We start from the raw sequence: 25,456 nt of genomic DNA, 5'->3' as shown, positions 1-25,456 counted from the left end.
TCTTGCCTTAAAGGAGTTTACAGTCTCTCTGTAAGAGAGAGTGCCAAGAAGACAAAAACTGAAATACATGTGCTATGTTTTATGACAGACATATTCTTGTGACCAAGATGGGCTTGCCATTTCTCTCAGTTTGACACTATTTTAGACTTCTAGACTATAGGCCCCTGACCTCCCTCTTGTTAGAACATTTACTTTAGAAAACCTGTAATAGCAAATTCTTTCTCTGCCCCTCTGGAATATAGATAAATCTTCTCCCAGCCTCTAATTAGCTTTGCAGTCTTACAAAATAAAATTTAAATTTTAAAATTTAAAAAAGATTTAAATGAAGGAAGGAAGGATGGAAGGAAAGAAGAAAGGTAGGCCAGCAGGCAGGCCTATCTCCTAGTCTCTGTTGGGAGGTAGGAGCCTAACTTTAGTAAGTACCAATTAACAGGTGGCTTAATCATACTAACCAATGCTCACATAACATCCTCCAGCACTTTTTCACTAGCTCACAGCAGCATTGAACAATTCTCCCACCTTTTGCTTCAACAGAGTTCAATCTGTCTCCCCTATTACAGTAGTCTTGAATAACGCCTTCGTTGCCATTTTTAACAAATGTCTGGTGCAATTTCTCTTTGATACATCAAACCATGGCAACACAAATGACACAAACTGTGGAAAATTAGGTAGAATTTTTTTTTTAAAGGACCTGGTACCTGGGCTGGATGTAAGTAATGAGAATTAAATAACACTGGGTGAAAAGGAGCTAGCAGTATTCCAAGCAAAGTTTGAAGAACTGGGACATAGGCAAAAGTGTATGGGGCACAGGCCAAGACCCCTTATATCAATTCTTCCATTTGAAAGCCTCCTAACAAGGGCAGTAGATACAATTGAAATTTAAATAAATTTGAATTCTTTCTATGAAAGTCAATAAAATACATTAATACATCAGATTTTTTAAAGCAAATTAAAAATTACTCTTCTATCTCTACTTGTCTATTTCTACTTCGTTTTTGTTATAAATCAAATTCTGTTGAGAAATGTTTAAATGTTAATATACTTTTTAAGCTAATCCTTTGAATCAAGAGAGTTACAGAGGACCCCTGTCTGAAGGACAGGTTTGAATCACAGTTGTAGCAAACACTCTTCAGTTTAAGGTGATTATTTCATCTTAAAGTTATACACATTGATGGCAGTGCATTCATAGGGAAGAAGCTAACAAAAGCTCAATTTTCCTCTTTTTTCCTTCCAGGGCAGTCCCCATGAGAGCAACTGTTCTCTTATTAATACTGTTAAATGTTAGCAATAAACCTCTCTGGAATTATACTGAATAAGAAGGTGACGTAGAAGAAAGTTTGTACCAAATAAATTTGCGTAGATTAGAGCCTGCAGGTGGTCTAAAACATGCCTGTATTGGGAGCCAAATTGTTCTGTACTGGAACCTTTTGAAAGGAGAACAAAGAGCCTTTCATTGCTCCAATTCTAAATGCAGCTTAGTACTTCATTAGGAACCTCTTAGTTCACTGTAGGAATCTTTCAGATTTAATTATAAGGTGGGATAAAAACCTTCTTTTCCTAGGATACCATATTGAAACATTTTATTCTGTTTCCTGGGACATCTCCAAGTTTTACAAACTACAGAAGTTATCTGTGCATATTTATTTTTTTCTGAAACCTAAGTATTAGGCAAAGTCAAGGTAACCATTTTAGCCAGTATGAATTCTGATATTAACATTACTGAGAGCCAAAAGCATTGAAGTTAAAAATTAAGAGACCTAGGTTCCCTTTCTGGTTCTACAACCTTGCAATGTCATTTAAATTTCTGAGCCTTAGTTTAATATATGTAAAGTGAGGCAGCTAACTGATAAGCATTGATTCCCCCTTCATTTCTAAAATTCTGTTACTCTATGTGGCCAATATTTGGTAAATACTAATGTTGCTCCATATTTATCATTTTCTTGGTTGTAAAGAAATACTTTAAAGATAATATTTCCAAAGCTACAGTATCAAATCATTGTGGATGGGATATTTTTAAATTGTAATATAATGTGGTCAGTTAACTTTTGGAAGGCATGAGCAAACAGAACCCAAAAAGTCTCTCATTCCTGCTTTAGTGAACTTGATAAAAACTGGAAGGTATGACAACCCAACCCTACAGAACAGAAAGAAATGGAATATGTGGTTGTAGCATTTGCTGCTAAAGGCTAGGTTGACAAGTTGAGCCTGTTAAGTCTCCTGGCCTGGGTCCTTCAATTCCCAATGCCTGGATCTGTGCGTCTGTATTTTCCATGTGTTTGAGTTCAAAGAGCAGTAAGTCAGGGCCCCTGGGAACAAAGCTTTTCCAGAGGCTAAGCTGACAATACCTTCATTCAGTGGAAAAACTGTCTTATTCTTAGTAAGACAGCAAACTACCTGGCTCTTTGAAATGAAAACAAACAAAAAGAGAAAACTAATACATGTTTATTAAGTGAAAAAAATGAATGAATAACCCATGAATTCCAAGTCTTGGCTTCTAGCTCTGAATCTCAAGATTAGTACAAATTTTCTAATGGAAGTCTTTTTATTTGCATCAGATAAATGAAATATAATTACTTTGACAGTAGCATATTGAAGAAAAACAACTTTAATTTTCCCCCATTCTACAAAAAGTAATTAACAGGCCAGATCTGATCTAAAACTCAATTTGCAAAATTTTACTTCATAAGTTCATAATTGATAAGGACTTCTTTATGTTTGCTTATGTGTGCCTACAACAAGGTGCTTATATGAGAGCAAAATGGATCAGTAGAAGGTTAATCTCCTTACAAGATGGTTGGAATGAACCAAGTTGTGCATTATCCTGACTGTGATAAAAATAGGCACGAAATGATCAGAATGTCTTTCACTGGTTGTATTTTTGGTAAGAACCTTGAGGATATTAAGATTGTACTTTATCTGTAAAGGTAGACAGAAATCACATACTATGTTCTTAGGAGCAGTATTTGTGCAATATCATTGCAAGGGTCATGGATTTTTACTAATTATGCTATTAGTCACTATTTGTTTCATGACAGGATAAATAGGAGAGTAGCTTTAGAGGCATAAATAAAAATGATTTCATAGTCAATTAAGCTAAATAGGTTAGATTGGCCACATGATGCACTCCAGCCAATTATCACATGTGATAGGTTGTCACTGTCACTGTTGCTACTGCCCTGGTTCAAAGTCACAGGCATCTCTCACTTGGATAATTTCAATGGTCTCCTAACTGACCGCCCTATGTCTATCCTTGCTCCCTTCTCAACCCCAAGCATATTCTCAATAGAGCAGCTGAAGCAGTCCAGTTAAAATGTAAGTTGAGTCTACTAACTCTTCCGTTCAAAACCACTGACGATTTCCCATCTTACTCAGAGTAAAAGCCACAACACTTACCGTGACCTACAGAGTCCCACCTTCCAAGCTTGTCCAGGCTGACTTATTTGTTGTTGCTGTTCTTCTGTTTTGTTTTGTTTTAGGCTTTTAGCACCTGAAACCATGGTTTTTAGTTTCTGTCTCTAGTGATAAGCAGAACAGTGGGATGAGGAAGGGGCTTTACTGGCCCAACCAGAAACAGCAACTAAGAACCCATGACTGTATTCTCTCCCTTGGACAGTTCGTTCCCGGCTGCCTCTGTCTTGCTGCTCCAGCTATCCCAGTTCTCCTGCTGCTCCCTGAACACCCCACCCAATGTACATCCCCGGACCTTTGCACAGGTTGCTTTCTCCTCTCTTTGGAATCCTCTTTCCACATACAGCCCCAGGGAGCACTCCCTTGCTTCTTGCAGGTCTTTTCTTTTTCTTTTTACAAATCTTTCCCTGCTTTACATCTTTCCTATCCCTGGATATCTTACCTAAAATTTTAACCTATCTCTATAATATTTCATATCTCCCTCCTTTTATTTTTACTCTCATATTTCTCAGCATTTATCACTACAGTAAATAATACTGTATTTAACATACTATAGATATACTCACTTGTTTTGCTTATTGTCTACTGATCCCACTAGAATGTACTTCTATAAGGGCAAGGATTTTATTTTATTTTTTGTCTTTTTTTCCCCACAACTCTATCTCTAGTACCTGGAAGGATACCTGGCACAGAGCAGATGCTCAATAAATGTCTGTTGAATGAACAAATGAATACTACCTCCTATCTATTCACATGGAGTTCCCCTAACCAAGCCAATAAAAACCTATGACTGGTCTTTATGGTAACTGAAATTCTTTCACTTTTAAATCGCTAACATAACCTGAAGCAGCTGGGCGCGGTGGCTCACGCCTGTAATCCCAGCACTTTGGGAGGTCGAGGCAGGCAGATCACAAGGTCAGGAGATCGAGACCATCCTGGCTAACATGGTGAAACCCGATCTCTACTCAAAATACAAAAAAAAAAAAAAAAAAAAAAAAAGCCGGGTGTAGTGTTGCGCACCTGTAGTCCCAGCTACTCAGGAGGCTGAGGCAGGAGAATGGCATGAACCTGGGAGGCGGAGCTTGCAGTGAGCCGAGATCGTGCCACTGCACGCCAGCCTGGGTGACAGAGCAAGACTCTGCCTCAAAAAACAAAAAACAAACAAAAAACCAGATACCCTGAAGAATAGGCTTCAACTCCTTATTATTATTTTTTTCTAACTTCATGACTTCATGACGGAGAAGATATCTTTGTATCATATGTGTTATTATTATAGATTCCATAGTCTGGGATTTCTATTATTATGATATTGGGGAAGGGAGCTATCCGTAGTCAAACTCCGCAAATGATGTTTAGACTTGAAGTATTGTGTATTTCATAAGAAGCATAAAATTCATCTAAAGTAAGAAAGCAATCCCAGGGAAAACACATTAGAACTAGGTTTTAGAACTTACTTGGAGATTCATTATTTTCACAGGTTTCCTCTTCATTTGGTGCTGGTGCTTCTTCCTCCTCTTCTTCTGGGTCATCAGTATCTCCTGACTCATCGCTGTCTTCCACCCATTTTCCAGGCATTAGTCCTGCTGAATCATAGGAGTTGCACAGAGGCCCCACAATGTGAGAGATGAAGGATTCCTGAAGGTTGGCCAGCTGAGGAGCAGAACGATCCATGAAGGGGCTTATGGGTAATCCAAGGCTGGCCTCTTCATCACCCTAGAAATAAAATACAAGTGAAGTCAACATTCACCTGGCATCTGAAATTTGTAAATATGTAAAACCCCAGGCATTAATGCACAAACTTCTTTACTTGACAGCTAAAGGATCCTACCTCAAGTGCTAAGGTTCCTATAGAAACACTGTTGCTAATTAGTACTTTTCTGAACTTGAGGTTTTTGCTTTTTATCAAGGAGAAATACAGAAAGTCTAAATTCTAATGTATAAGTAGATGATATTTTAATCACACAAGTCAGTGTCTTTTATATGAGAATATAAATGCACGAAAATGCAATGGTGAGGCTGGGCGTGGTGGCTCACGCCTGTAATCCCAGCACTTTGGGATGCCAAAGTGGGCAAATCGAGACCAGCCTGGCCAACATGGTGAAACTCCGTCTCTATTAAAAATACAAAAAATTAGCTGGGTGTAGTGGCAGGTGCCTGTAATCCCAGCTACTTGGGAGGCTGAGGCAGGAGAATCACTTGAACCCAGGAGGCGGAGGTTGCGGTGAGCTGAGATCGTGCCACTGCATTCCAGGGTGACAGAGTGAGACTCCATCTCAAAAAAAAAAATGCAATAGTGAGAACAATTTTTTTAAAAATATATAAATGTAGCCTATTTTCCTTTTTTTGCTTTGGCTTCCAGAAAGCTTTAAAGAATTTATTGCTCAATTCAAGGGGTTACCTTATCCCAGATTTTGTTTGAATTTTAATATATCTCCTGTGATTGTGTGGTTTCTGATATTCTTATTTATCTATATGTTTAATAATATTACTGTACAAATGTTTTATTTTGAAGTGCTTCAAATGTTTCTGAGGAAAAAAGGGAGATTTTTAACCAGCAGTTATCTAGCAAAATTAATAAAGGAAATATCCCAAAATATCAGCAACAATTATGCCTAAGAAGTGGTATTATTATACATGAATTTTCCCTTTAATTTACATTTTTCTGCATTTCCATATTTCGAGATTTATGAATTAATCCCATTCTTAGGAAAGGCAATACATGATTTCATGATGTTTTAAAAACACAAAACTTTCTCCCATTCTGTAGGTTGCCTGTTCACTCTGATGGTAGTTTCTTTTGCTGTGCAGAAGCTCTTTAGTTTGATGAGATCCCCATTTGTCAATTTTGGTTTTTGTTGCCATTGCTTTTGGTGTTTTAGACATGAAGTCCTTGCCCATGCCTATGTCCTGAATGGTATTGCCTAGGTTTTCTTCTAGGGTTTTTATGGTTTTAGGAGAAAATTTTTGCAACCTACTCATCTGACAAAGGGCTAATATCCAGAATCTACAATGAACTCAAACAAATTTACAAGAAAAAAACAAACAACCCCATCAAAAAGTGGGTGAAGGATATGAACAGACACTTCTCAAAAGAAGACATTTATGCAGCCAAAAGACACATGAAAAAATGCTCATCATCACTGGCCATCAGTGAAATGCAAATCAAAACCACAACGAGATACCATCTCACACCAGTTAGAATGGCAATCATTAAAAAGTCAGGAAACAACAGGTGCTGGAGAGGATGTGGAGAAATAGGAACACTTTTACACTGTTGGTGGGACTGTAAACTAGTTCAACAACTGTGGAAGTCAGTGTGGCTATTCCTCAGGGATCTAGAACTAGAAATACCATTTGACCCAGCCATCCCATTACTGGGTATATACCCAAAGGACTACAAATCATGCTGCTATAAAGACACATGCACATGTATGTTTATTGAGGCACTATTCACAATAGCAAAGACTTGGAACCAACCCAAATGTCCAACAATGATAGACTGGATTAAGAAAATGTGGCACATATACACCATGGAATACTATGCAGCCATAAAAAAGGATGAGTTCATGTCCTTTGTAGGGACATGGATGAAACTGGAAACCATCATTCTCAGCAAACTATCGCAAGGACAAAAAACCAAACACCGCATGTTCTCACTCATAGGTGGGAACTGAACAATGAGAACACATGGACAGAGGAAGGGGAACATCACACACTGGGGACTGTTGTGGGGTGGGGGGAGGAGGGAGGGATAGCATTAGGAGATATATCTAATGCTAAATGATGAGTTAATGGGCGCAGCACACCAACAGGGCACATGTATATATATGTAACAAACCTGCACGTTGTGCACATGTACCCTAAAACTTAAAGTATAATAAAATAAAAAAAATCTTTCATTCTATATATGAATCCTACCTATAGTAACCATAAAATTTCATTCTAATCTCTTGTTTAAACATGTCCAATGACAGTCAATTTATTACCATTAATATGGTGTCTCAGCCTATTTTTTGGATACCTTTAGCAATATAAATTTCTTTCTGACATTGACCTGAACACTACCTCCCAATAACTTCTATAGACTGGTATATTCATACCTTTTTTAGGGCAGTAGAGAGGGATCTAACTTTTTTTATGAATCAGATCCTGTGCTAAGTATGTTATATAATTTATCTTCTTTAATCTCCACAGCAATGTTGATTAACCGATTTCTAAATTAGTATGTCACTCTTTTAAATATCTGAAGACAGTTATATTTCCCCAAGAGTAAATACCTTCATTTTTTTCCACATGCTTTTCTGTCACTTATTCCTGTCCTTTATGCATGCTCCTTCACCTCCACATTCTTTTTAAGAGTGGTTCACAGTGCCAAACAGGAAGGTTCAAGTGCATTCTGATGGGTGTAGGGTAATGTCAGGAGGATCACCCCCAGCTTATGTAATTGTGGTAGCTTTCTGAGTAGTCTGTTAACTCTTAGTTATCATGTCAAATGAAATGTCTATTTCTTTTTAGCTTTTTCACATAATGCTCTTATTAATTTTTTTACAAAAGTGAAGTTAATCTAATATACAGATACATTCGAACTACCATATACATATACATATAAACTATTCCATGTACATTTAAACTACCTTCTATGATAATAAATAAATTTTTTAGGAAAGTAAGTGAAATTAATGTGATATGCATATACATTTAAACTACCATATACATACAAGCTACTCCATATACATTTAAACTACCTTCTATGATAATAAATAAATCTATAAAAAAACAGTATTTCAAGGATCTTCCTAACATCTGACTTCCACTATCTCAATATCTTCTTCCCCCAAATGCTTGCAAATAACTTTTATCATAGAGTTCTATGATTATATTTTAGTCCAATTTTTATACGTCACTTTTTGTCTCCTGATCAAAATTGACCAGTGCATTTTCTGACAAAAGTATGAATATAAAATAGAGTGATCATACTTTCATAGCTGTTAGAAGCTTTGAGCAATTCATGAGCAACCTGTAAGTACAGATTAAGCTGTATTAAACAGTGGTCAGTTACCTGTTCATAAAATTCATTGACAATACCATCTGTCCACTGAAGATGGAGTTCTTTACATTTAGCTGGACCATTGATATCAGCCAACTTTATACACATTTGACAAACCAGTAGACGATCATTTTCATTGGTCCAATCTATTCCAACATCATCATTTACCTATTTGAGAGATAAAGTTAATATATGTTTTGCTTTGATAAAAACAAAAGTTGAATAGAAGAGAAAAACAATAGAACATTTATTGTCTTCATATTATATAGGGATCATAATACCAAATAATTGGGAACCTCTAGCTACTTAAAAATGTTATTGGCTGTGTAAATTAATGGTAAAAATAGTTCACAAAAAAAGTAAAATAACGAATTATGGATAAAATTATAATAATGGGTGACAGGGTGAGTGTGTCAAAAATAATTGAATTATACATTTTAAAATAACTAAAAGAGTATAACTGGATTGTTTGTAACACAATGGATAAATGTTTGAGGTGACAGATACCCCATTTACTCTGTTGTGATTATTATACATTATATGAATTTATTAATGTAACCCATAAATATATATACCTACCATGTACCTACAAAAATGAAAATTTTAAAAATCATTAATTATTGAATTAGCAACAAATGCTTTTTTAAATTGGCATATATAATCAATTACTTCTCTTTTCTTTTTTTGAGACAGAGTCTTGCCCTCTCTCTCAGGCTGGAGTGTCATGGTCCAGTCTTGGCTCAGTGCAACCTCCACCTCCTGGGTTCAAGCAATCTTCCTGCCTCAGCCCCCGCAAGTAGGTAGGACTACAGGGGTGCGCCACCACACCTGGCCAATTTTTGTATTTTTAGTAGGGATGGTGTTTCGCCATATTAGCCAGACTGGTCTCGAACTCCTGGCCTCAAGTGATCCACCCACCTCGGCCTCCCAAAGTGTTGAGATTATAGGCGTGAGCCATTGTGCTTGGCCTTATTATCAATTACTATTAAAATAATATAGTTACAGTTCATAAAAAATTGTCATAACTTAATATTTGGGCATTTACTTTTGAGGTATAAAATTCTGCTTCAAGTTTTTGATCTGTACTGCTGCCAGATAATTTATACAAATATACCGTAGAGATGAAAACAAATTAAATCAAACAAAAACCACAATGACAGAATGTGTTATTCCTCTGTAGCACAGAGTAGAATCTATAGAGACAGCATCTCAGCTTCTTGGGCATCTAGATTCAGATCAATACCTATATGTCTGCTTCTGGTTAAACATTTTATTGTATTCCATTTTCACATTTGAAATATGGGAGTTCATAGTAACATGTTTTGTTCAACAGTTTGCTTCCATGATATCTTTCAATGTGTCTATAAAATGAAGACTGATGCAGCCGGGCACGGTGCCTCACACCTGTAATCCCAGCACTTTGGGAGGCCGAGGCGGGTGGATCATGAGGTCAGGAGTTTGAGAGCAGCCTGGCCAACATGGTGAAACCCCATCTCTACTAAAAAAAAAAAATACAAAAATTAGGCAGGCGTGGTGGCATGAGCCTGTAATCCCAGCTACTCGGGACGTTGAGGCAGGAGAATCACTTGAACCCAGGAGGCAGAGGCTGCAGTGAGCCAAGATCGTGCCACTGCACTCCAGTCTGGGCGACAGAGCAAGACTCTGTCTCAAAAAAAAAAAAAAAAGAAAAAGAAAAGAAAACTGGGTACAGCTCTATTTACCTTGCCATTAAATTTGGCTACGAAGTCAAAGTGTTTCTTCAGGTCAGTGGCCAAAATTGCTTCAATGACAAGGAAACGGAAATGCTTAAATTCCACATGGTCAAGGTTAATTAAGAAGTTATACTCTGGCCGGGACATGAAAAGATTCCATGCAGCAGCTGCGTGATGATTCTCCAAAACTGAACGATCGTTATATAGCACCGCCTAGGCAAATAAGACAGTTAAGAGTTCAACTTTTTAAGAAAATAATCACAAAAATCATGAGAATATGCAATGCTTTTGAAATTGCTTTTTATTCATACAACAAAGAAATGTAATCACGTAACTCCTGCTTATTAAGAATCACTTATTACTGTACAATGACTCTATTATTTTTCTTGGTTAAATTTCCACTTTTTGTAAGATAAATTCCTTTCCTTGAAAACTTAGTCCAAACTCTTTTGAGGGGGCACTCGCCTATCTTAATAGATATTTTTTAAAAGATTTTTTCTTTAGATTTCTTTGTAGGGTACAGGAATTTAAACATAAAAATTATATACAAATAGAAAAGAGGAGGGAGAAAGAAAAAAGAAAAAAATTATATTTACATATATATGTAAATATAAATATAATATATAATTATACCAATGCCACAATACCTCAAGAGGTAACTAGGTTACTTTCTCTATCTGGCATAAGCATTATCTCCTCTTAAACACATACAGCTATTAAAGATGAATGGAATACCCAAAATGTCCATGACTTAAAACATTCTCACTCCACTCCACAGGAAATATCACCTTTTATCTAGTATTCGGAGACATAAAATGACATTTACTTGTTTGAAATTCTCTAATAATGCAGAGAGAAGTTTTATTAGAGAATTTTTTTTTAAAAAGGGAAGCTGCCTACAAAATGCCTGAACACTAGTGTGCAAGATAGCCTATGGAGAAATAAAAAGACATAGGACAAAAAGAAAACACTAAGCACAGAATATTAACATAGAGGTATATAAAAATGTAGACGTGTAAAATAATCTGAATGGTAAATTATCCTGGCCAGTGGATTTTTGCCTATATTTAGAAAAAATAATTCTGGTGTATGAAAGACAAGTGGAAAGAAGGTAGATAGTCAAGAAAAAATTATCAGATAATTTTTATTGTATATAGATTCAAGAAAAACTATAGAATAGCCTATAAGATGAGCTGTGGAAATGAACAGCAATGGGATAGAAGAGGCAAAGAAGAAAACAGAAAAGTCAATATTGAATGAAATTGGCCTCTAGATCTTGTAGAAGAACAGAGGATCTCAGAATGTTTAGCAACTTGGGTTCAGCTAATTAAATAAATGAGGGGCTAAATTTGATTGTATAAATGGGTATGTCTACATACTTAGTGATGAATTTTTTACTTAGAACTATACACCAAGATGAACTTTAAATTTATTCACTGTTTTTGGAATCTATGTTTAGGCAAAAAAAATAAAAAATCCTCCAATGAAATAAATTGATATTAAAATCCTACCAACCTATAGATAATGTCATAAGAATCATAATTGTTATATTGAATATATTTCAAAGGAATGGTATTTATATACAAAGAAACCTTACATTCTTAAAAGTCCAAGAAATGCTTGGTTCTCTAATCTTTTCAGAAAGGGGCTTTTGTATAGGTTGCCTTTTGTTTGTTAAAGAGGTCCATTAACATGAATTCAAGTAGGTTTTCTTCCTAAGAAGAAAACTGAGAAATGATTCCCATGGATAATAAAGTTGTATACCTGCTATTAGAATCTTGGAAGAATCCATGGCTTCTTTTCAGAATTAGCACGGTCTCTGAGAATTTCAACGTAAGACTATGTATAGTTTGGCTTATATTAACTTGGTGCCTGTTATAAATCACACTGAACTTCACTTTCTTGAGAAATCTTTAAATTAGTTCTCCTAACCAAAATCTAAAGATTTACCTGAGGAGCACTAGTTGCAACCAGGAAAGCATTAGTCCTTCCTGGATGATCATAATCGTGCATGGCTGCAGCCACATACAGCGCCATCAACTCCAAGGCAGGGATATTCCCAGACAGACATCCGTATTTATCATCTGTCACATTATACGTTTTTGAGAATACATATCCCATATGTCCATGTGTAAATCCACTGTCAGAATCTGAGAAGAGAAAATGAGAGTCAAAGAAGTTTTTAAAAAAGTACTGACATTATTTGTCTTGACTTCTTTCTTTTTGAAAAAAAACAAAAACAAAAACACCCTTGTTCCCATCTTTCATAAGGCAGTGCAGATTCACTTCGTACATACCTGAATCACTGGTTGAACCATGATCATTAATCACAGTTGAGAGGCCTGGAATAGGCTGTGTAGTAAGATACCAAACAGCATGTAAAACATCAGTGGCATGGATTCTGTTATGATCTGTAACCAGTGAACAGGAACAGTCATCAGTTTATGAACTTTGGGGTCCAAGAACTAAGAGTGCCATCTACTGGACAAACAGTTTAGTCCTAACATTTTACTATTTCCATGAAAGTTGGCCAAACTTTCTAGGACAAATATTATTTGATTACTCTTCCATAACTCCATAACATCCATCGTAACAAGAAAAAAACCTTACTTGTAACATTTATTATGCATGCAGGTATCTGAAGTGGAAAAATCTGTGTCAACAGTCGACTACAAACTATGTATATAGGAAACATACTGTGTGAAAAAAGTGTAATGTTTACTCTGGTACTTATTTTCATGCTCCTGCATAAAACTATGCAGAGAATGAGAATAAATGTAATAGCTATGACATACTTCAACTAGATGAGACATAATATTTCATCTCTGATAGATGGTACTCAAAAATAATCTGGGAATAGAACATAATACCATTTTTCTGTATCAATCTTAAAGCACTGCAATAACATATCTTTTATATGTAGATTTCATCCACAAGCAAAATTCAAAGCCACAATCAATTATATTCTCTGATCTAGAAATTCTAATTTCAGAATATAGTTCTAAGAAATACTTAAAAAGAAAAAGAAAAGCCTCTTGTATAATAATGTAGGAAGCTAAGCCATTTAGAAGAGTTAAAACCTACAGGAAAACCAGATAATGCCATCATCTGGTTGATGATGCCATTAACCAGATAATGCCATCTGGTCATAATGCCATCATCAAGGGAAGGGGGTCATACTCCACATGTGCAGTTCAACTTCTTTCAAACCATAACCACGTGCCCAGTGTGCTCTTGGCTCACCTTCCTTTTCTGTGCAATTCTTCCAAGTTTTTTGTTTATCAGACCCCTCATAATACTTCACTGATTAGTATGCTTTATTCTATTGTATTTACATATTGTAAATACCTATACTTTATATATTGTATTTCTGCTAACCAACCATGATACTGTTTCCTTCTCTAGTATAAGAGATTACATTTCTTCATAATACTTAAAATAAGGAGAAGAGAGAAACAGGAGAGAACAAGAATGACAATGAGAATATGAGAGAAACACCTATTCCCTAGTCAGAGAAGAAAGAGGAAACCTATGGTCAATGTGGCAATTGTAGCACCTGGGTAGGTGTTAAATTTCTGGCAGCCATTAGGAATCAGTCTTTAAGTGACAATATGCAGCTAAATCTTAGGTAAACACCCTAGAAATTCAGTGGAAAGGCCTGGATGTGGGTTTGAAAAGATCTCATCAGAAGAGCTTAAAGAAACTCAACTCTGGCCAGGTGCAGTGGCTCATGCCTGTAATTCCAGCATTTTGGGAGGCTGAGGTGAGTGGATCATTTGAAGTCAGGAGCTCAAGTTCAGCCTGGCCAACATGGTAAAATCCCGTCTATACCAAAAATACAAAAATTAGCCGAGCGTGGTGGTGGGCACCTGTAATCCCAGCTACTCGGGAGGCTGAGGCAGGAGAATCGCTTGAACCCAGGAGGTGGAGGTTGCAGTGAGCTGAGACTGCGCCACTGCACTCCAGCCTGGGTGAAAGAGTAAAACTGTATCCAAAAAAAAAAAAAAAAGAAGGAAGAAGAGGAAGAGGGGGAAGAGGGGGAGGAGGGGGAGGAGGAGGAGGAGGAGGGGAAGGAGGAGGAGGAGGAGGCTCAAATCCTAGCCTCCTGAGGAGAAAATAGCAAAACTTGTATACCTGTGTCAATCGTAAATATGAGTAATAATATTATATGGTACTTGAAAGAGCAATTTCATTAAGATTGACATCTATATCCCTGAGTATAGCCCATCTCCAGTGATATGAGCCCATTACATTTACAAATAATTCACAGGCAAGAGAATTACGATCATATTTTATGTCTGTACTTGGGCTATTTATGAAATTGATCATACTAGAATTTTCTGGATTTGGGACAGGTGTGCTTTTACCTCTGCTATAATATTATCCATGCTAACTTGGGTGAGTTACTTAAAATCCACTTCCTTATCTTAAAAATAAGACAGAGTAAAAAGTCTTATTTATCTTAAAAATACGGGAATAATATTGCCAAATTCATGGTACAATTGTGACAATTACATTAGGAAATATATTTTAAAGGGCCAGATACACGGTGAATTTGTAATTTGTGTAAACATTATTCATGTAAAATAAATTGCTGCTGTAGAACAAGACAGAACTAGTATAGATCACCAGCTTTCTCCCAGAATCAATGCTGGATTTGTAAGAATAAAATAAAATATCTTCTGCCTCCATCGGTAGAAGATAGTAATGACCTGTTATGGTAGGAAAATGGCAGTCTGGGAGTAGGGTTCCACTTTTGGGAGATATGTTGGAAGCCAGCTTCTTAAATTATCTTCTCCTGTTGCAAGCTGGGAAGATTACTATATGCCAGTAGTTACTATTATTGTTGCAAGTCAGAGAAACCTGTGCATGAGCATAGCAGTACGGAGGTGGATGGGGGGCAGTATCACAGTGTTGGCAGAGCCTGTTTGGGGTAAGGAATTGATAACATCTATTCCAGGTGAACTTGCAGCTTTTGAGCTCTAATCCTTTTGAGCTCTAATCCACCCTGTCCCCCACCCCAAGGCCCAGGCCCAGAAAACTTTATAGGTAATGTTTTATTTTAAAAAAACAAAAAAACAAAAAACAAACTTTCAACAAGCAATTAATCCTAAGTAAATAATCTAGTGCCGAAAATACAAGAAGAAAAGCTGCCAAACTCATTTTATGAGGCTGGTACAATCTTGATTTAAAAACGAGGTAAAGACAGTATGTATATTTAAACATGTTCCTTTTGCTTTCGAGTACAGGTTTAAAAGTACTAAATAAAAAAAAAATCACTAACCAAATCCAGCTGCTTATCTAAACATATACATCTAGTTATATGTGTGTATGTGTAGGAGAATAATACTGTCATCAATCACTTAGATTGAAGAATAGAAAACCATCTGTCCTGTTAGCAGTCAGTGACATGTTTATTAATCAAATATTCACTTAGCATGTACTCAGTATTATGCCAAGTGCTGGCATCTCCATTGTTCTTGTCATTAATTCTCTGGTAACCCAACCCAGGAGCAAAGACACCCAGGAAAGAAGCTAGCAAGGTCAATGTAAGTTACTGACAGGTTTCTATGTAATACATAAAAATGCTCAAAGATTCCTCTTCTTCTTCTGGCCAGGGTAGGCAACTGAGAAGGATAAGAAATGCTATCAGAGCTATCCTTATTTTATCCTTATTCTCATCATACTTCTTCCTTCATCTCTGCATTTTGGACAAACCCCTAGCCTTCTCGATGACACCTTCACTCATGTGGCAACCCCCTCGCCCTCTTTAATAACATATAGACGCACATGCATACACTAGCACATGGTACACCCTACCTCTTTCCCAGAGTCCGCCCATCTCCCTCTTCCGTCTTGATACACTTGTTTTCTCAACTTTCTCCTTTTCCCTCAAGCACAGAGTTGAAGTGAGCTGGTATGGAGGGTTGGAGTTGTATGTAAATTCACAGATTTTAAGATCCAAATTTATATATTTTGTATTTAAAATTTTGTCTATGCTCCTATGCACCATAGGGTAAGAAGAAGTAATAAAGAATAGAGGTAACACTTTAAATATTTTTTTTTCTTTTGGAATATAGTTAATACTCTGGTAGTTCTGCCCCTCTAGCATGTACCATGTCACTTCAATATCTAGCTTTAAAATCAGTGGGCACATCATGTACAGCTGAATTGAACTGAACTAAATATAGGTTGAGCAGGACTATTCTCATTGCTGCCATGAAATAGCTACATGATCACAGGTACTTCTGAGGCATTCTCCCCACTTCTCAAACTTAAATCAGAATGAGAGGTGTTAGGGAGAATATGCTTTAGAGAGGAAACTCTTTGAAAATAAAAACTACCTTCAAAAATAACTGGATCGATGAATGAATATGAATGGATTTTTTATTAAGTAAAATGCCCAACTGAAAGGGACTATGAATGACACCAAACATTATTTATCTCCTTATGCAATTGGGTATTCACCATACATTAATTTATCCTAAGTTTGATTGAACAAATACATTTTTATCACATTTATATTATTGAGTTGACCATATTTCTTGTCTTTCTATTGCTACTACCATGAAATTACTTTAATTCTCTGTTTAAATCTAGATTCTTCAATTTTTGTAAGGATTCTAATTACAAATTTAAAAGCTTTCCTACTTACCCTCTTTTCTTGAAAACCGTTAAAGGTACACTTAGAACTATAATAAGAAATTTAGTTTCTAATATTTGCACACATTATCATATTAAAGTTAAACCAACCCCATTTTAACTTTGGTTCCTCTTATGCTTCTTTTCAACTAAGGATTTATTTAGATAGGACCATTAGAAATATAGTCCAAAATAAATATTAAAACAAGTAGGTATACAGCAAATTTTTGTATGTGCTGATTATAACTAATGATAAGTGAAGATTTTAATAAATATTCATATTAATTTACAATCTCAGCACATATGAAATATTATTAGATAAAAGTGATCACAAATGAAGCTAGAGCTTTCCTATGAGAAGATGTAAATAAATTCCCTTTATGGAGACTATCTGGGACTTCTAATAGAACAAGCAGGTTTATTACAACAAGTTCTTTTCACCTGGAATAAAGAACCCACTATTTCAGGGGTAAAAAATATCTATTACTTGTAACATATAAAAATGTAATAAGAAAATATAAAAGTGAATAATAAATCTTAGAATCTGAAAACTTATTTTTGTACTTAAACATTTGCCATCTTTCAACTATGATTTAATGATATACCACCTGTGAAAAAGTTGGTAGTTATGTCTATGGAGTTTAGTATCAATTTGAACTCAGTGGAACTTTGCTATGGCTAATTACATCATTAAAATACATTTGAAAATATAACATGAATTTGGAAATTCAGTCTAGTGATTAGCTGTTCCTTAGTGTTTTTAGTGTCTTCCTTTCTATAAAAGTTTATTTATATAACTCCTTGACCTTCGAGAAATCGTGAACACTTAGGTCAATCACTGGCATCCAACCAGGGTGGGCCCTGGGAAAACTGTATTAAGAAAGCAAGGCTTATCTTGAGATCCTTTCCAACTACCCCTTTTTTCATGTTTCTCTTCCAACTTCCATGGATTTGTCAGCCAGATGTTCCCAGGGGCCCTGGTACTGTTGAGCTCCTCTTTCCCGTACTCCAACTGCCTTACTCTGTCTGTATTTTGGTCCCACATTCTTCAGAAAATCTCACTTGTAGATTCAGTTTTTCATTCTCTTTTTCTATGATACACTAACAGCTGTGTATATTCATTCCAATGTAGCAGGTGGATGGGATTTTGAAAACAATAAATATGCTCATAATAAATCCCTAAGTTGATGTGATACCCCTTCCTGGAAATACTTGTGTTTTATTAGTATTAATTATTTTTTAATGTAATTTCAGCTCTTTACAATTACGAAAAAGTTATGGGACTCTGAAGTCTGAGGTGCATAAGCAAATATAAAAGCTTTTAAAACTTTTAAAAGCTTAAAAGCTAAAATATGATTTAAATAACATATTTCCAAGACATGTTCCGATCAATATATTATGTTTGATTATTTTTCTTTCTATATATTTATTTCCTTCATGTGTTACATGATTTTTGAACATCTCCACAATTTCCCTGTTTCGACCTATAGACACTGTCTCCCAAACCATATATTTCGTAGCACTATAGGACCATTTTACTTATGTGTTATAATCGATGATTCCTGAAATGCTACATAATGAAAATTTAACATCTCCTCTGTGTTCCGATTTCTTGTTGTTATAAATGGGAAACTTATTCCCACAAGACTCAAAGCTTGAATACTTGATTGTGTGTTTTCCTTGGGTCTTTCCATTTACCTGATTTTTTAAGTGTTTCTTATCATTTTTCCATAACCACTTCCATATGTCTTTTCTATTTTATTCATCAGACCATCATCCTCCTGTCCCTCTAAACGCCAGCCAACTTTATCTTACGTGGAGAAAACATATATAGTGACTTAACTCTTCAGATGCCACAACAAAAGTTGAATTTACCCAATAAAAGGGATGGGTTATTAAATGGGCAATAAATTTAGTATTTATTTATTTCCAAAAAATAGCCATATTAAAGTGGACTTATGTCAGACTTACTGTGTGCTAGGCACTAAAATAACCTCTTTAAAATTATAATCTTATTTGATCCTAACAATCATATGAATCAGGTACTATAATTCTCATTTTATGAACTAAGAAATGAGGCATGTAGAGCTTAAGTAAACCCTAGGGTCTCACACAGCTGAAAAGTAAAGGGGCCAGGATTCTAACACACAGGCGATATTTCCTAATCACCATATGATGTCTCCATATTGAGCGTCTACCATGTGTAATTCTGTGCTACCTGCTAATGATTCACTATCCCATTTACCCACAGCAAATTCGACATATTTTAAAAGTATTATTTCACAAATCACATATACTTACAAGGAATATCCCTATATCCAATCTCCAAAGCATGAAAATAATTCATAAATTCCCTAATTGGAATTTTAAAAGCTTCAAAGAGGCCCATGTCTTCAAAAAGTCTGTAAGATACCTGTAAAAGAAGACAAAGCCTTATGAAACATCCCTATGTGTATGTCAGACATAAAGAGAACAGTGGTGAAACTAGGTAAATATCGGTAACGGAAAACATTAAATGCCTTTTCAAAATCTGAAGGGTGTCCTTTTAAGTTGGTTAAAATGATAGTCATCAAAAGGCAGGCTGTATATTGAAACTGAGAACTTATTTCCATTGCACATGTCTCCTTAAAAATCTTTTGAAATGAGACTTTTTCCATTTAGTCTCAGCCAAAAGGTGATTTATTGGAATGTTCACATTAATTCATTTCAGCTGTCCTAAAGTCTCACTATGGCAAAAATATATACATATTTTCCATAATGAAAATTTCATGATTTTTGTTCTTATAAACTCAAATAAAAGGAAAAATCCCAAAAAGTTCTACTTAGCAAGTCATATGAAACTACATTTGTTCAAAGTTTAATGTCTGGGAAATTAGGAACATAAACAGTGACTAATAAGGATCATATATCAATATATTACTCTGTTTTTGGAACATGATTGGAACAAAAGATACATTATTGAATTTTGCATGGATCTAATTGTTAATTATCCTTAATCTTTTTATTGTCTACTGGTATCCATGACTCTTAGAAAATATTTTGTAGCAATTTTGGTCAAATTGTTTTCTCCCATTCCCAGCTCACAGAACTTCAAGGGAGTGGTTGGTACCTGTAATGAAATTCTGTATGCTGTCATTTGTGCTGTAAAACTGACTGCTATCATAACCACTTTTCTACTAGGTATGAATCCTCATTTGGAGAACTTGAAGATATAATAAGTCAAGGTGTTTTATGAAGATATGAGAAGCAATTGAATGAATGTAAAAGCCCTAGGCTTCTGATATGGATAAATCTGCTTTGGAATCCTGGGTTGAATATTTACTATATGACTTTAGAAGAGTAGCATAGCCTCTTTTAAGCCTTAGTTTCTTCTTCTATAAGATACATATTTAAAAAAAAAACCTGCACTAAAGTTACTATGAAGATTAAGTTTTCGAGAGTCTGTGAGATATACATCAAATATAAAATGAGATGAGATGTGTCTCTCTATACCAGGGAACACACTCCCTAGCAAAAAAATAAAATCAAGAGAGAAAATGCTTCCTGACTCATTGCCACATCCTGTGGCACCGTTACAGGCTTATTTGCAGGAAAGATCACTCCCTCAAAGTTGCAGTTTTCCATGGGTTTCAGAAAGAAAATACACAATCTCCCAGGGGGATCCCTAAAGTATGAGGCTAAGGTGAATTGGACTGAACAGCTACCCTTAAATCTGTCCTGAAGATCAGCTAGTGTAAGAGACATTGCTTAGCACCAAGAAGAAAGGAAGGGAAGAGGAACAGGACTCTCAACTCCTAGCAAAGTGCAAGGGCTGCCATTATATTCCTCAACATGGTGATGGACAGAATAGAGTCTAGCAGAGGCAATAATTGAATATTTTACAGACTTTGTAAGAATTTTGTGTCTTATATTCCATCAATAATGTTAGTGTACCCCTAGACTAGACAGCCATATGTGCTTGTAGAATCAAACACTAGAAGAAAGGCCTGCTATCTTTTCCCTTCAATCTTCACAGATTAGGATTCTCACCCCAAACGAAGTTCCACATTGAGACATGTGTTGAGTGGTCCAAAGAAAGCTCATCTCTGATGCACTGCATAGAAATCAGCATTTCAGTGATTTCTCTTCTATTGTTTTGCAGAGAAGTGTTAGTGGCCCCAGTAGATCTGGGTTGGGTCTTGAATTCTTACCTAAGTCTTATATTCACAAGTTTGATGGTCTTTACTATCTCTGCTGTGATACTTATTCAAATTTATAAGAATACACCTAAAACATGTGAAGATAAGCTGATACATATTATCACACCATCCTCTTTATTTAATTAAGGGTGTGTATTTCGATAGCTATTCCATAGTACAGCAAATCCATCATTTTGTTTTATGGTTTAAAACAAACATTTTCAAATTCTTAATTTCTACATGTTTTCTTTCTTCTTCAGCAAAACAAGTAATTATTTATGTGAAAAGCCTTGAGAGTAGTCTAGCCTAAAGAAAACAATACTCAAAGGCTGGTTATGCAGCAACAGTATTATTCTATAACTCTATGTGATGTGTTTTTCATAACACTAGGAGGAAACACATTTTGGCACAATGTATTATCTTTGATAAGGCCTAAGCTCTGTAATATTCAAAAGTTTTTAAAAAGTCATCAAAAATAATTACAGACAATAAATTAGTATCTCTAAATAGGCAGTTTTCTTCTTTTAGAGGCTTGTGTCAGATTTTCTTTTGCTTAATTCTATGAATTCTAGATCGTTTGTCCCTTGTCTATATATCTCTATCCCCACCTACTTTGTCTTTAAAAATATATCATATTTTAATTGTAGAATATGACACTCGACTCACTTGAAGTTCCAGTTTCTTTTGTTAACACACAGCAAGGAATCTACAGAATGTTGTGTTCTAAAACTTCCTTTCTCCACATAACACCTATCCACAAGTGTCAAGAATTTACAGAGCTTTAAGCAACAAAGGAACTGTTTTTCCTATATTTAAATTAGTGTGAATGAATGCATTTCTTACCTGACTAAGAATACGGCCACATTTTCTTCCTATATTTTCCACTAAATCAAAAATTGGAAAATTCCAAGTATTTAGCTGCTCCATAATTGAGTCCAGGTTATCCATGACAAGAGGTTCGGGAGCAAGAATTGGTTTGTCCTGTAATGTTTAACATTAAAATACTTAAACAGCATGCAGTTTTTCTACAGGGCAATTTGTGCTTTGCTAAATTCAATAACAACTGTGGCTATCGGAAATAAATGACTTAAAACTCCAAGGTGAATAAGTGATCTTTGCTTAAAAAAGTCAACATGAACGAGACATTGACGCCAAAGTAAGAAGGAAAGGAACAAATGCCATTTCAGATATAAATTTTGCACTATTAGGTGCTTGCCTATCACTGGTCCATATACACTCCAGCAAAAACACGGATGTTTCTTCTATAAGTTAGTATAACTACTTTGGGACTACTGCAAGGTTCTTAAATAAAGTTTTAAAGACTTCAGAATATTCTGAAATTACATGTAAATTTATATCTCTACATAGTCATGTAAATTTTTCTGAGATGAGGGTTCCCTCCTTAAATTAAGCTCTCAAAAGAAATCCATGAGTAGTAGGACCTGATCATTCCTACTATTATTAATTAAGTTTATATTAATGCTTTAAAATGGACATTAATCCTATAGAATAACAATTGCCATATTTTTTAGGGATTTTAATTTATTTCATGTGACCTACTGTTTCTTGAGAAACATGTACTACGTAAAAGTAAAGGTTTTTTATAATTGGTCCCAAACGAGGATGTTCTTAAGAGTACATTTGCCAAAAAAGAAGAAAGAGAATGAGGATAGGGAAACATATACATTATTTTACCTGACGATCTCTCTGACTTAGAAATACAAACAGTAAATACAGTAAAAGAAAAATGATAATAGCAGCCATTGATGATCACTTGAGAGTCAACAGTTTTCTACCACTTGCCACCTCCCCAAAATGAAGCTGACTCAAATATATGCTTCCATCCTCCTTAAATGGATCTTTTTAAATACACAAAGTAAGTAATCATTAAAGAATATTTTAATAGGTGGCTAGTGCCAATATATGCCTGACAATATGACAAGAAAAACAAATATTGGTTCATGTTCTAAGTCAAGGAGATACTAGAGAAAACCAGCAGATGCCCTAAGACAATGAATATCTTCTTCCCTCCCTTCCTTCATCTTTCTTTTCTTTCTTTATAAAATATTGTTTTAAGGAATGAAATAATACATTTTCCTATATTTACTTTTTGATTGGGTTAATAAATATCTGCAATTATTGTATAACTATAAATACTTATGCTTCTAATCACCAGATAATAGAACCATTAAGAGACCAATAATGCTTGGAAAGAGAAAAAATATATTGATATGTATGGGAAGGGCTGTAATACATGTTTAATCCGGATGAAATACATCTGTAAATCTCATGTTTCAGAGATTAATTTCTTTTTTTTTTTTTTTTTTTGAGATAGAGTGGCACTCTGTTGCCCAGGCTGGTGTGCAGTGGCATGATCTCAGCTCACTGCAACCTCCGCCTCCTGGGTTCAAGTGATTCTCCTCCCTCAGCCTCCCAGGTAGCTGGGATTACAGGCACCTGCCACCATGCCTGGGTAATTTCTTTCTTTCTTTTTTTTTTTTTTGAGACAGAGTCTCCCTCTATTGCGCAGGCTGGAGTGCAATGGCACGATCTTGGCTCACTGCAAACTCCACCTCCTGGGTTCAAGCGATTCTACTGCCTCAGCCTCCTGCGTAGCTGGGAATACAGGTGCGTGCCACCACGCCCGGCTAATTTTGGTAATTTTGGTATTTTTAGTAGAGACGGGGTTTCACCATGTTGGTCAGGCTGGTCTTGAACTCATTGCTGACCTCGTGATACTCCCGCCTTGGCCTCCCAAAGTGCTGGGATTACAGGCGTGAGCCACTGCACCTGGCTATGCCTGGGTAATTTTTTTGTATTTTTATTACAGATAGGGGTTTCACCATATTGGTCAGGCTGGTCTCGAACTCCTGACCTCGTGATCTGCCCGCTTCGTCCTCCCAAAATGTTGGGATTACAGGTGTGAGCCACCTTGCCTGGCCTCAAAGATTCATTTCTGAGCCAATATCTGTAACAGAAGCTCATCTCTCAAGTAAATGAGTGAGTTAAGTGATATGGGACTACCAGAAACATCATGGTCTCAGGAGCATAGGTGCTGCAAGCCGATGCTTTCCTCAGAGGCTCTCTCAGGCACTCTGTTTCATCTTCATTCTGTACAATGTCACTGCTGTCACTGTTGTTATTGGTTTCATAATCAGAGGTAACTTGAGCAGTGTCATCTACAATTAAAAGAGAACAACTTATTACAAGATCTACAATGGGGAAAGGGGGCTCATTTAAGCAAATTTTGCTAAGATGCATATGGTAAATATAGTGTTTAGGGAAATACTGCTTTCCTGAGCACTCCAAGAACATAGGATCATAGGGTGGAGAACATCACACATCTCTTAACAAAGTAAAACAGATGGAAATTATAATCTGTAATCCGCATGACATTCAATAACCCCTCAATAATATTTTTTAGATCAACAGTTCATACCTTTAACAAATCCTACAGCTTTATGTTTCTTTTTTCTCTATTTCTCTCCCTATACATTAAACCACTGAGTGACTAAAACACTCTAGAACGGGCACGTGAGGTGGGAGAAACTGAGTTGACACACCCAGGAATAAAGTTCTCTGTGTAGCACAGAGTGATGGCATATGCTTGGGAGCATGGGCAATCCTATGTATCCAATCCTATTTCTTGGAATCCTGTGGCTTCCTTCCTCATCTGTCCTTCTTCACTGTCGCCATTTCAGTCAGCAGTAAACTGTGCTAACTAAAAGACCAATCAGTAAACACCCAGAGTCTGAAGTCTATCCTCTCTGAGCAACTGTGACATTTCTCATAGCTGACTAAGGTGCCTGAAGGAAGTTTATTGAGTATTTGCTATGTTTTGGGAACCACTTAAAGTACTTCCAATGTCAGAAGTAGCAAGATAAAATAATATTTCTATATAGTTCTATATATTATATAAAATGGCCTCTTGTGTTTTAAAAATATACACATGTATAAATGTATTAAAAAATTTTGGAAAGCTTTGCACCCAAACTTTACCAATGATTAACTCTAGAGAGTAGGAGTACAGATGATTTTAATTTTCTCCCTTGTCCTTTTAAATCTATAATTTAAAAAATCAGGCTGGGCACAGTGGCTCATGCCTGTAATCCTAGTACTTCAAGAGGCTGAGGCGGGAGGATCACTTGAGGCCAGGAGTTTGAGACCGACCTGACCAACATCATGAGACCCCGTCTCCCAGCGCCCCACAAAATATCAGAAATGTAGATCACTGTTTTGATCAGGAAAACAAAAATAAGGCAATTTCCATTTTGGGCAACAGAATCCAAAACAATGAATTACCTGTTCTACTTGGTGTCCGAGTGGCTACCCCACTTCTCTCCAGGGGCTCATCAGCAGGATTCCCTTGGGAATATGGTCTGCCACAGCTAAAAAATATTGGAAGAGCTATAGGTGTAGCCTCCTCTTTTCAAAAAGTCATAGGCACATACCATCTATGTATACATTAA

At 35.9% G+C, this 25,456-nt stretch overlaps 1 protein-coding gene across 5 annotated transcripts in view, besides 1 other annotated feature; it reads right to left on the bottom strand.

The window, feature by feature from the left end:
- The window catches only part of PDE3A (phosphodiesterase 3A), a 320,047-nt gene that overhangs the window by 29,516 nt on the left and 265,075 nt on the right, over positions 1-25,456 (bottom strand). For 4 of the 5 annotated variants that reach the window (NM_001378408.1, NM_000921.5, NM_001244683.2 and 1 more), the window contains 9 exons: positions 25,290-25,375; positions 24,012-24,166; positions 21,831-21,968; positions 19,111-19,222; positions 12,465-12,578; positions 12,118-12,317; positions 10,177-10,380; positions 8,468-8,623; positions 4,863-5,121 (listed from right to left, as the gene is read on the bottom strand). In NM_001378408.1, coding sequence (NP_001365337.1) covers positions 4,863-5,121; positions 8,468-8,623; positions 10,177-10,380; positions 12,118-12,317; positions 12,465-12,578; positions 19,111-19,222; positions 21,831-21,968; positions 24,012-24,166; positions 25,290-25,375 — 1,424 coding nt within the window. The remainder of the gene's footprint in view (positions 1-4,862; positions 5,122-8,467; positions 8,624-10,176; positions 10,381-12,117; positions 12,318-12,464; positions 12,579-19,110; positions 19,223-21,830; positions 21,969-24,011; positions 24,167-25,289; positions 25,376-25,456) is intronic. The other variant, NM_001378407.1, reaches the window with a different exon arrangement.
- Positions 12,419-12,713: a silencer, noted in NCBI's record as "tiled region #13494; HepG2 Repressive DNase unmatched - State 12:CtcfO". NCBI's record gives its function as "represses a minimal TATA promoter and a strong SV40 promoter by Sharpr-MPRA in HepG2 cells {active_cell/tissue: HepG2}" and the evidence as "EXISTENCE:reporter gene assay evidence [ECO:0000049][PMID:27701403]".

Source organism: Homo sapiens, chromosome 12, assembly GCF_000001405.40.
Source record: "Homo sapiens chromosome 12, GRCh38.p14 Primary Assembly".
Lineage (NCBI taxonomy): Eukaryota > Metazoa > Chordata > Mammalia > Primates > Hominidae > Homo > Homo sapiens.
This window is presented reverse-complemented; position numbering and strand designations above follow the sequence as displayed.